Raw genomic sequence first — 13,548 nt, 5'->3', positions numbered from 1 at the left:
CTATGAGAAGGAAATGAAAATATTTTCAAGTAAATAATCCTGCATGTGTTAAATGTAAGCTTACTTTAATTACTAATATTCAGACATCTGGTTCATCAGGCTCAATCTTTAGAAGTACACTTTTAGTAATGGTTAAAAATTCACTGTTAACTTTATGCTACCAAACTAAAGACCAAATCATTCATTTTTATATAGCACTGTCACAGAATAGAGCAATGAGAAGCACAGCTCCTGTCCTGGGAACCCACGGTGTAAAGGACAAGTAAAGACTGGATTAAAATTAAATCTACAAAATACTGTGACAGAGGTATGGCCCAGTGCACCATGGAAACAAGGAAGAAATGGGGAGGGCAGAGGTTTCAAGGGGAAATGCTTGCGTTGTATTTTGAAAGACCAACAGAAATCCATATAGAAGGCAAGTGTGGGAAGACACATGGATGAGGAAAAATTAATGCAGGAAAACCTGCCAAGTAGATAGGTACCACTATAGCAGATTATGCACATAGGAGAAAAGGCCTGAAATGAAGATGGAATGGGCAAAAGTCAAATCATGATGTGCCATTTATGCTATACTCAGAAATTAAAATCAATCCTGAAGAAAATGGGGCACAATTAATAGAGCACCTCACCTGTAAGATCAGTTTTGTGTCTTGGATGAATCTGACAACATGTGGCAGATAGGACAAAAGGAGGCAAGCAAGGTTAGAGGCAAGATAGCCAATAAACTGTTAAAATAATCCAGGCAAAAATGATGGAAGGCGCAGGCCAAAGGAGGAGCTGTAGGAATGAAAAGGAAGAGATGATGTGCAGGAAATTTCAGAAATCAATAGGAAATAACCAATTAGAGTTAGGAGACAAGACTGTAGATACTAGACTACTGTATAATTCACAAAGACACGTTGTAGGACGAGCAAAAGGAGCCCAGTTCATTTTTGGACTTGAACAAAGAAACAAATGTTACTTTCTATAGTAAGTAATTGAATTCATGGGTGCAAACTAAACTTCCTCAGATTTAAGAATGAGAAGAGAACTTGGGGAATCACCAACATTAAGGAGTAGATTAAAAACATGGAGAAGTACAAAGAGATTTTGGGAAAATGGGAAAAAATATTATCAGGGAAGACAGAGGAGACTTTTAAGAAGGGATTGCCAGAGACAGGTCCAGTAAAAGAAAAGGAACAATTTGTTGGATTTGTCTACCATCAGCCCATCAGAGTCTTTAAAAAGAGCAGGTTCAGTGATGTGAGGACAGAAATCAGATCATAGTGTATTAAGGAAAAAAATGAAAGTAAGAGGTAGAAATAAAGGAGCAAAAACAATGTTTCAAAATGAGAGAGGATAGCAGTTACGTTCATTTCATGGAAATGTCAATAGTAATTAACAAAGCAGAACACCTTCTTATTTAAAGATGAATAAATACTATTTCTTAGTGTATCTGGGGACTCAAAGTCAAGTACAATTTTCCCTAATAATTTTCCATTTACTTTCAGTTAATGTCACATCCACTGCTTATCTCTTCTAAACAAGCAGAAACAGCCATCCTTCCTAGCCCCTCTCCTCCCCTCAGATGGACTAGAATCTGTTATTTTCTTCTTGTATTTCTAGGGGGTGAGAGAGGGAAGGATATTCAAATGATTAATATTCAGATAAATAATAACAAATACTAATCAAAAAAGAGCTAACATTTTCTGAATACCTATCATGGTAAATGTGTTTACATGCAGTACCTCACAATCACTCCATAAGATATAATTATTCCTTCTTACAATGAGGAGCCTGCCTAAGGTAACACGACTAGCTAAGCTCTCACTGATACAGAAGCTGAACCCAGGTTGCCCTCTCTGCAGTCTATACTCCTGTCTACTCTGCTCTAGAGCTCCCCCAACTGGAGTGAAGGATAATATGTCAAACTAGCAATAACAATTATGATGACTGAATCTGAGATATAAAAATTATTTAATCAATGTATAAGACAGAATTTAATAATTCAGTCATACAAAAGTTTAAGAGATTCGTTTACTCAGTAAACATTTCTTGGAAGCACTTGAGAATAGAACTGAAAGAATATTAAGTCACAGAATGAACTTTTACTCCTATATGGTAAAGCACTGAGTACAATACCTGGACCATAAATAAGGGCTGCTTTGATATTATTAACTTAAGAAAAAAAATCAATATTGATTATGTTTCATCATTTACAAATATAGCAAATATAGAGATGAGTTTACATAATCTCTAAAGTCTTTTCCAACTCCACCATTCTAAAAAAAGGTCTATAAGTTTATGTGTACATATTTTATTTAAAAAAAAATGTAGGGTTCGGGTGTTCATTACATTTTTATTTAATCCTCTAAGATACATACCATACTGACATATACGCTGCACAGGCTACAGAAATTAAAGGAAACAAAGGCTTACCAAAACTAAGATCTCTCAACATTCAATTAACAATACTTACTAAAGTATTCTGCAATCTTATCTGTCAATAATGTGGGCAATAGAACATGGGTGAATAAATCAGCATGTGAATTCAAAGAACTTCACACATTTTTACTTAAATTTAAGGAACTACAACAAAATATTAGTGAACACGATATTATAAAATTATTTTAAAAGTAAATTTGGTTAACTTCAAAAATCTAAATTTACCTTTTTATCATCCATACGATTTATCTCAACTTTCTAGGAGTTAAATTATATTAATCCAACAAATCACAAGGCTGGAGGAAGTCTCAGAGATATTTTCATTCAGTTATCTTTACAACAGAATAAACAAAAATCAGTCTGTACTATATTTTACAGATCAAACTGTTCATGAAAAAAGATTTATTAAATAGTGAAAAATCATATATTTTTGTCTGCTGACTTCATCTTTTTAATCAGATACAATGCTGAGAAAATTTGAAAAGACTCTTTCATAAATATGTTGCATTTTTAAGACTGTACTGGAACTTTAGACTCAGCCAACAATATGATAAATTTGGTATGGAGAGGTACAGAATATATTACATGTAATGAGTTAAGTAACATACTCTTATCTACCACAAATACACATACAAGCACAAACGCTGAGACAACTACTTACTAAGCAGTTAGACATTCTTTCAATGCAGAATTTTCTTTCCGGCATTTTACTACCATAAGAACTCCAGAGTTCTTGCAACATTTGGTAAAATCTGAAATAAATTTGGAAGGAAAAAATTACTTGTAATTATATCTATATAAATACCCACACACACAATTTTCTTCTTTTTAGAAAAAAAAAAAGAAAGCCTGTCACCCAGGCTGGAGTGCAGTGGCATGATTATAGCTCACTGCAGCCTTGAACATCTATTATGTACATTGTGCTTGGCACATGGTACCGTGCTCAACAAAAGACATGTACACCAGTAAAAGGCAGAATAAGATGAGTGATATTCACTTTGTATAAATAAATGTGATTTGAGAAGAGGGAGAGAGGACTTCTGAGATGAAGGGCAAGGAGACTTCATAGAGACAGGATGTAGAGATAGGATTTCTAGTAGAGAAACAGTACAATCATGGGCTGCTTAACAATGAGGATACATTCTGAGAAATGCATCATTTGGCAATTTCATCGTGGTCCAAAGATCAGAGTGTACTTACACAAACCTAGATGGTACAGCTGAGTAGATATCTAGGCTATTTTGTATAGCCTAGGCTAAAACCTGTACCATATGTTACTGTACTGAATACTGCAGGCAATTATAACAGAAAGGTAAGTACTTGTATATCTAAACATTTCTAAACATAGAAAAGGTACAGTAAAAATACACCATTATCATCTTATGGAACCACCATCATATATGTAGTCTGTCATTGACCTAAACACTGTCATGCAGTGCACGACTGTATATTCTAGGAGAAATACAAAGAGTTGACTCTTCCTTTGAAAGGGAATTGTTTCCAGACATTGGTATCTGTTGTCTAGTCTCTGCATGTCTTCTTAGTACCTGGCAACAAAAGCCGGTGGATTCCCACCTGATGGCAGCAAGGCATCCCTTTGCTTTTACACAACCCTGCCATGGTTTCTTAACTTCTAATAACAGGACCCCCATTTCATTCCCAAGTAAGTTCTAGGTGCTGTAGATACTTCAAATGGCTTTCTGTCAAATTTCCACTCTGCTAGTTTGCTCTTTAAATTGTACTGGCACCTTGGGTATTCTGCCTTTTCAGGACCACAAACCCAGAAAAGCCTGGTACCTATGCTACCCACAGGTGGGCCACTTACTACTCTGTCTTGTGTTTGCTTTGGGTCAGACTCAGTCCTGTCTTATCCCTTACACAGGACAATATGCTTTGCTCCTCATCTCTTGCAGCTACTCTCATGAACTACTCTGGTCCCTCCTTCTGACCACTGGCTGCCCTAGTTCCAGACTCTGCCACCCCTCATCTACTGTAAGTAAGCAACTATTTCCAAGTGAGATCTTAAACATCGTCCTTACAAAGAAGCTGTAGGCAAAAAAATGAAAATAAAAATAAATTGTGTATTGTGTTTTCTCAATATCTTTTGTAACTTTGAAAATACAAAATAATCAAGATTCCTCTCTTTTCTTGAGCTATGTGTTATCCTTCCAGGTACTTGGGATTATAAATTATTTATAATTGTCTTAGACAGATAATCTTAGGAGTGTCCATGAAAATACATAATTATGTAACAAAAATATTTTTAAACCACAAGCAACCAAAAATGAGATTTATTAAATGCATAAAAAATTCATTAGGGGGGCCTTGCTGGGACAAGAGCCCTATAGCATAGATACCTGTATCCACTCACAACATCATAGTGATACTTCCAAGAAAATTGGTGGAATAGGAAGAAGGAACAAGGGATGCAAGAAATGACTTTAATTCAAATAATTTAATGTGTGTGATCACATGAAGTGAGTGATACATAGTATTCCCCTTCAAGGACACACAGGATTAGTTCCCTTTGGCTTCTGCTTCACTAGTCTCAGCAGTCCCAACATTTGCTCTCTCATTCCCAACCCAGCCTGTTAGACTCTAAACGTAATCAAGTATCTTCTTTATTCCAACTGCAAATGTTCTTGTTCCTCTTGACGCAGATGAGCTGGCCACACAGGTCAAATCAAACCAAGGGAAATTCTTTGTGCCCTTTGACTAAGGACTCTCTAACACTCAAAAGGCAAAGCAGACTTATAGCCAGCTCATTTTCAGTGGAGACGCTGAAGGGTAGCCACATGGCTATCTAAAAGTCAACTAACTTTCACTCTGGAATGCCTATCTATTCCTATACGTTAATTTTTCTATTTATAGCATGATGTTAAGATCTACCTTTACATAAGCAAAGACTACGATCCCAAATAAAAAGACATGGGCAATCCTCAAACAATATGTATATAAAGTTAATCCGGAATTAGCTAAAGCTAGCTAAAGGCTTCTTTAAGAGAACTGCCATGTTCAATAGTGGTAATGAACCATGGGCTGGATTCCCCTGCACCACCTTACCTTTACTGTCACCTTACTATACCTATACCAGACCAGTTCACCCAAATAATATTTGGTAGAAAGGTAATTAGATCATGAATTTTGTCTCATGAAAACACACTAGTTGACCAAACCTCAGTCCTTTTCCGGAAAACACAGACACAACGGCTGTTAGCAAATGCTTACTTTCTGATTTAACAAACCCAATATTTTAACTTACTTAGATAAATAGGATGCTTAGGCATTGCATTAAGACTTGTTTTGTCTAATATTAGTAAAAATGTCCTTGGTAGGGAACTGGTACAAACTAGCATTTATGTGTTCTGATCACAATAAAGGCATAGTCTATATACTTTCACACTTGTCCAAATATCTTCAGGAGTAAATATGACTGACCTGAAGCCTTAAGCTGTCTGCAAGGTTTTTGTCACTTGTTTAGCAACAAGATTTTAATGAGGACCTTTCTTTCATTCTACATTAGCATATATTCATATAATAGTGATGTTGCTAATACTGCCAACTGATTTCCAAAATGGAATTCTGAAACAAATCCAATTTAAATCAGTTCCATCTTTTAATTTACATTAAATGTTAAAGAGCTTGTATATCTGATTCTATCAATAATTTTAATTACTATTAAAAACTATAAAATTCAAATTTCATTCAATTCAGTCTATCTTAAGATAATACAAAAGAATATCAATAAACAGTAGGAATGCGGAGAGATTGTTAAAAGTTATTCAAAGGTTTAAAGTAATGAGCACTCAGTATATTTTTTTCTTTAAGATATCAAGAACATAAAAGTCTGTGTCTTTCTTTTGTAAACTCTTAATTTATCTCAAAGAAACCACGTAATATCATATACTATTGGTAAAAATATTCTTTGAAGCCAGGCACGGTGGCTCACGCCTGTAATCCCAGCACTTTGGGGGCTAAGGTGGGTGGATCACTTGAGGCCAGGAGTTTGAGTCCAGACTGGCCAACATGGTGAAATCCCATCTCTACTAAAAATATAAAAATCAGCTGGGCATGGTGGCAGGCGCCTGTAATCCCAGCTACTTGAGAAGCCAAGGCAGGAGAATCACTTGAACCCGGGAGGAGAAAGCTGCAGTGAGCTGAGATCATGCCACTGCACTCCAGCCTGGGCAACAGAGTGAGACTCCGTCTCAAAAAAAAAATTTAAAAAAAATTCTTTGGATATAATTAAATTTGGCTCAAGATTATCTAGGAAAAAACATAAAGAGATAAAGTCTTCTCCTAACTTTAACATAATGGACAAAATAATTATTCACATTGTAATTAAGTACAAGTAGTCTATATAATTAAGTACAAGTAGTCATATCATAGTACAGTTTAACTATGATATGAAAAAAACTTGGGAGCTTCCATATAAAACTAACAGAAGTGATTTATTTTTTAACTTATTTAATTTATGGAACTTCCAGATATACTTTAATACTTAAATAATCCCCAATAATATGGTTCCTTAATTGAGCAAAGGATAAATATGACAACTGTGCATTGAACTAGAAATAGCAGATAGTTCATCTTTTACACTTTCTCTGCACATAGTCAGTTTCAAGCAACATCATTACTTTGCAAATGCAGTTATCCAGTTAGAACTAAAGCATTCACTGAGATGACAATTTTAAAACACATCAAATTAAAAGAAATAATCCCCATTATTTCATTTCTCTGATTAGAACCACTCTGTTCATATCTCCATTAATTTGATTTTTAAAATGAATTTTTTCACAACTGTCTTTAGACACAGCACTTATTCCTAACTTTTCAGTACTTTAATGTCCTCAGCTAGTAAAGTCATCAAAAAATGCCTATTTTCTCCTAGCATTACAAAAAGCAAAGGCATATTTGGATACCAATACAGTTTAGAATTTTAACATATAAGCTATAGGCAATATTTCCATAACTGCACCATCATCTTAATAGGTGGAAAAAATTAGGACATCTTGTTTATTAAAGAACATAGTAGGGCAGACTTAAAAATCACCCTAAATTCATAATACATCATATCAACTCTACAAATAGGAATCTGAATCACAAAACTTTGCTTCCATAAAACTAGGTAAGAATAAAAGCAGAGAGGTACTTTAAACATAATGTAGAAAAGATCTTTTGAACAGTTATTGAATTATAAGAGGTTTTACAAATATAGGACTAAAAATGATACAATTTGAAAGAGGGTCTAAGTGCTGACTTTTAGTAAGATTTCCCTTCAGACAAAGGTGTCTGCAGTTTTAAATCTGTAACATAAATTAAAATCTACAAATAAATTTTCTCAAGAAAAGCTATCTTTTATGTGAGGACTTCTGTAGTGAACAGTCTAATGTCAGGTCCCTATAGACGACGCCTAAGTGCTGCGCCACTCTCAGTAATCATCATCCCTTCTGGAAGCTGTGAAGTAAAAAGTGCCTGAAGACAACAGGAGGTCACCCTCAGTTTTCAATGCAGGGAGGAAGGTCTGAACCAAAGCAGAGACAATGAAGATAGTATTTTTGTCCTCTTCTTTCTAATGACTGCTCAGCTGAAGAAAATCAAGGCCACAGGGACACACAGCACATTATTCTGTATAACCAACAGCATGAACAGTATTTCATGAGGTTCAGACTTTATATACATTCGTCTATAAAATTTAGTAACACAATTGTAGGTCTCCCTGCGACCTCTGCATCAATGACCTAAGTAGTTTGGCTTTTGGAAAGAATCTAATCCAACCTATAGACAAAGCCAAATATAACTTAATTCCAGACTGGATGAGAAGTAAATTAGGATAAATTCAAGTAAGCTGAAAAAAGTGCACCAGTAAATCTTTTCCAGCAAACATTCTAGCCACCCATCCCTACAGAAAAAAAAAAAGAGTACCACAGACAATTTTCTAAAGATCCATAAAACCATTAGTTCAAATGGAAAAATATAATGTCCAGAAATGATAAACATCTTTTACAACAGGGGTCCCCCAAATCCCGGACTGCAGACTGGTACTACTCCATGGCCTGTTAGGAACCGGGCGGGACAGCAGGAGGTGAGCGTCTGGCGAGGGAGCATTACTGCCTGAGCTCCACCTCCTGTCAGATCAGCAGCAGCATTAGATTCTCATAGGAGCACAAACCCTCTTGTGAAGAATTGTGCATGCGAGGGATCTAGGCTGCACACTCCTTATGAGACTCTTAACTAATGGCTGATGATCTGAGGTGGAATAGTTTCATCCCAAAACCACTGGAAAAGTGTCTTCCACAAAATTGATCCCTGGTGCCAAAAAGGTTGGGGATTGCTATCTCACAAGACATATATTGAAACAGTGGCTTCTTCACTGCACTACATCTTTAAAAACATTTCCATTTTCAAAGGCAAATCTATACACTGCAGATGGGAAATCACCAAATCATTACCTTAATTTTAAAGAAAAGATTCATTTGTAAATACTGCATTAGTTTTTCTTTAATTACCAAAGTAGAACGAAAAAGAAAAAATTATCTACATTCCTGTCTTCATGATAGCAACAATAGCTAATATTTATTGTGTTTATAATAGACACTGTCCAATGAGTTAATTAATGATTCACGTTTTAGCTGATTCAATAAATTACAATATTTAAGTATTTTCTCATTTATTCAGGGGCTCATAAAATATCACTCATTCATTCAACAAACATTTTCAAAGTACTTACTGTGTAAACACTGTGCTAGCTTCTGGGGTTACCATGTAGAGTAAGAAAGAGAGGGTTCCTACTCTGTGGGAGCTAACAATAGTCCCTGAGGAAGACAAGTAATCTTCAAATGCTAACAGTTGAGTTGATACCTGCTCTGGGCAGGGAGGGTGCTATGGAAGCACAGAACGGGAACCTCAGACACACTCAGGAGGGAATTCCAATGTGAAATACTCTTAAGCTATGATGTACACTGTGTTGTGTTAGCAAATGAAGAGAGGGAACAGTATTCTGGACAAAGGGAAGGGCACAGAAGGTCTGGAGATGAACAGGCAGGACATATTACAGAGAATAATTCAGAATGGTTTGTACATTTGCTATTAGCGTGTGTGTGTGTGTGTGTGTGTGTGTGTGTGTGTGTGTGTGTGTGTGTGGTGGACGTCAGGTGGAGGAGAAAAGGCATGTACCAAGTATGACCAGCAGGCAATGTTAAAATGTATATTTGCAATTAGCTTGTGTGTGTGTGTGTGTGTGTGTGTGTGTGTGTGTGTGTGGTAAATATCAGCTGCAGGAGAAAAGGCATGTACCAAATACGACCAGTAGGCAATGTTAAAATGTTTAGGCTGTGTTCTAAGGGCTATCGAAATCCTCAAAAGGGTTTGCACAGTGGAATGACAAGATCATGTTTTCTTCTGCACAGAACCTTAGAGTAGGCAGAGGAAACAGAACTGGAAATAAGAAAACTGGATAGAAAGTTAGTACAATAGTCCAAGGGGCTAAAAACATTTAAACCTGTGGCAGACAAAGCAGGAAAGGACAGAAGTGAGTGAATAAAAATGAAACCAGAGAGAACTAACAGGACTTGGAATATAGTTATTTATGAGTGTAATAGAAGGACGAGTCAAGGATAACCCCTAATTTTCTTGCTGGGTGCATGATGGCCCAGGTTGATGACTTAAAAAACACCAGAAAAACAAACAAAAGCACTGTTTTACATAACACACACTCACCAAAAAGGAATAGCATATGAATTTGTTCTGTTTTGGTGGAGGAAGATGGAATAAAGATGACAATGAATTTAGGACATGTTCAGTTAAGGGGCCTGTGAAACATCCAAGTAGAAGGCAGTTACCTATGAGTTGGAAGCAGGTTCTGAAGATACTGTTTTGATAGTAGTAACTTAACAAAAATAATGAAAAGAGGCCCTGGACAACCACTGAGGAATCCTAACACTTAACGCTAGGAGAAAAAGAAGAAACTGGAAAAATACAGAGGACTATGTGGCACCAGAGAAAGCAAGGAAACCAAGCATTTGACCCTCAGTATAAAATCAGGGTCCACTAGACCCAATTTTAGTTTTGCAGGCTTATTTATTTATTTATTTATTTTTTTTTGAGACGGAGTCTCGCTCCGTCGCCGGGCTGGAGTGCAGTGGCATGATCTTGGCTCACTGCAACCTCCGCCTCCCAGGTTCAAGCGATTCTCCTGCCTCAGCCTCCCGAGTAGCTGGGACTACAGGCATGCGCCACCACACAGGGCTAATTTTTTGTATTTTAGTAGAGATGGGGTTTCACCATGTTGGCCAGGATGGTCTCGATCACCTGACCTTGTGATCCGCCCACCTCGGCCTCCCAAAGTGCTGGGATTACAGGCGTAAGCCACCATGCTCAGCCTGTAGATTTCATTTATAAGTAATTCCATAACTATTTCAAGAATAATTTAAGACTTTATTCTTTCTTAGAGGCCTCCAAAAATCTAAAGAAAATGGACATATTTTTAATACAATAAAATTCATTTTATCAACTAGGATCATTTGATCTTCGTGTAAAGCTAAGATTCAATATATAACTTATTGATCTTATTTTTCCTGTATCTTCAAACATTTTATTTCATCATAGCAGAAATTATTGCATCATGGCCTGTCAGTTATTTCCAACTATGCTAAAAATAACTACGATAAGAAAAGAAAATGATGAAATCCCCTAGAAGGATGCAATAGTGAAATAAAGCTTCCATTATTACATCACATTTACTATATTGCTCAATGTATTGTATTACCGTTCATGAAGATATAAAAGTAGCTTTTTCTTTTCTTTTTTTTTTAAAGCTTTCACTGAATACAGTTAAGGTTTGAATTTTTCTTTTCATTTTCTGCCTATGTTAGGTAGCATAATAGTCCCCAAAGATGTCCCAGTCACAATCTCTGAAACCCATGAATATGTTAAGATACACAGGAAATGGGAATTAAGGATGCAGACAGAATTAACTTTGCTAATCAGTTGAAAATAGGGAGGTTATCTGGGAAGGCCCAAAGTAATCACAAGGGTCTTTAAAAGTGAAAGACAGATGCGGAAGAGAACAGGAGAAAAGAGATGAGATGATGGAAGCAGAGTCAGAGAGATTCTATCTTGCTGGCTTTAAAGATGGAAAAAAGAGAATACTTGCATCTTTGCTGAAAAAGGCAAGGAAACAGACTTTCCCCTAGAGGCTCCAGAAACAAACACAGCTCTGCTAACACCTTGATTTTAGCCCAGTGAGACCTGTCACACTTGAGAACTACGGAACTATGATACAATGAATTTGTATTGTCTTAATAAAGCTACTAAGTTTGTATAATTTGTTACAATAGCAATAGAAAACTAATATACTACCACAGTGGGGGGAAAAACTGGCTAAAAGATGTTTTGCAATTATTAGATGAATTAGAAGAATGCAAAGAAACCAAGAGCAGCACTCTAGACTTTAACGAAGATGATGAAATTGATCATATAAGCACATAATCATATTGACTATAAGTCTTCAGGTGACAGTATCCCAGATGAATTTTCTCAAAATCAGGAACTGATGCGTGAATAATACTTTTTTTCTTGTCACCCAGGCTGGGCGCTGGTTAGATCATAGCTCTCTGTAGCCTTGAACTCTGGGCTCAAGTGATCCTCCCACCTCAGCCTCCCGAGTAGCTAGGACTACAGGTGTGCAGCACCACACCTAGCTAATTTTTTTTATTTATTTTTCCTAGAGACAAGGTCTTGCTATATTGCACAGGCTGGTCTTGAACTCCTAGCCTCAAACAATTCTCTTGACTTGGCCTGAATAATACATTTTTAAGGACAAAAAGGAAATATAGTATTCTCATCCCATTAGACATTTAACAGGAGTGATTTTTCATGAAGTATAATGTAACAAAAACTTGTATCCCATTGTGCTAAAAACAGGGCAACGCAGTACTCTTTCATCTTTTATGATATCTGTGTGTTGAAATGTACTTGATCCAAATGCTAAAGACAGATATATTTAAAAGGTGATTAAAAGGAAATAGTATTTGTAAATCTAAAAGTGAAAATGTTTTAAAACTATGGAGCCAAAAAGATGGCCATCTTAACTTCAACAAAATTATGAGTCATTGGTGTTTTTAAAAATATTTCATTTTGGCTGGGCATGGTGGCTCACACCTGTAATCCCAGCACTCTGGGAGGCCGAGGTGGGCGGATCACCTGAGGTCAGGATTGGAGACCAGCCTGGCCAACACATGACAAAACCCTGTCTCTACTAAAAGTACAAAAATTAGCCATGTGTGGTGACAGGTGCCTGTAATTCCAGCTACTCAGGAGGCTGAGGCAGGAGAATTGCTTGAACCCAGGAGGCTGAGGTTGCAGTGAGCTGAGATCATGCCACTGCACTCCAGCCTGGGTGACAAGAGCAAGACTCTGTCTCAAAAAAAAAAAAAAAAATTCTTCATTTTAAAGATGTAAGTAGTTCACCAACAATTATTATATATTTAGAAAATGCTAAAGATTCCTCTAAAAGACTACTGCATTGATAAATGACATCAGTAAAGTTTCAGGACACAAAATCAACATGCAAAAATCATCATTTCTATACACCAGTAACGTTCAAGCTGAGAACCACATTAATAACTCAATCCCATTTACAATAGCCACACACACACACAAATACCTAGGTAGACATCTGGCCAAGGAGGTGAAAGAGCTCTACGAGAACTCCAAAATACTGCTGAAAGAAATCACAGATGAAACAAATGAAAAAACAACCCATGCTCATGGATTGAAAGTGTCAATGTCATTAAAATGCCCATAATGCACAAAGCAATCTATAGATTCAATGCTATTCCTATCAAATTACCAATGTCATTTTTCACAGAATTGGAAAAAACTATCCTAAAATTTATATGCAACCAAAAAAGAGCCCAAATAGCCAAAGTAATCCTAAACAAAAAGAACAAAGCTGGAAGCATCACATTACCCAACTTTAAAATATACTACAAGGCTATCATAACCAAAATAGCATGGGACCAGTACAAAAATAGGCACACAGAACAATGGAACAGAACAGAGAACCTGGAAATAAAGCTGCATACCTACAACCAACTGATTTTCAACAAAGTAAATAAAAAT

The 13,548-nt window shown here is 36.3% G+C and overlaps 1 protein-coding gene across 7 annotated transcripts in view; it reads right to left on the bottom strand.

Annotated features, from left to right (window-relative positions):
- CMC1 (C-X9-C motif containing 1) overlaps nt 1–13,548 on the bottom strand; it is an 83,524-nt gene that overhangs the window by 5,634 nt on the left and 64,342 nt on the right. For 6 of the 7 annotated variants that reach the window (NM_001331187.2, NM_001331185.2, NM_001331189.2 and 3 more), the window contains one exon: nt 3,086–3,176. In NM_001331187.2, coding sequence (NP_001318116.1) covers nt 3,086–3,176 — 91 coding nt within the window. Of the gene's footprint in view, nt 1–2,649; nt 2,757–3,085; nt 3,177–13,548 lie in introns of all 7 variants that reach the window. The other variant, NR_138585.2, reaches the window with a different exon arrangement.

The sequence above is a fragment of the Homo sapiens genome, chromosome 3 (genome assembly GCF_000001405.40).
Source record: "Homo sapiens chromosome 3, GRCh38.p14 Primary Assembly".
NCBI lineage: Eukaryota > Metazoa > Chordata > Mammalia > Primates > Hominidae > Homo > Homo sapiens.
This window is presented reverse-complemented; position numbering and strand designations above follow the sequence as displayed.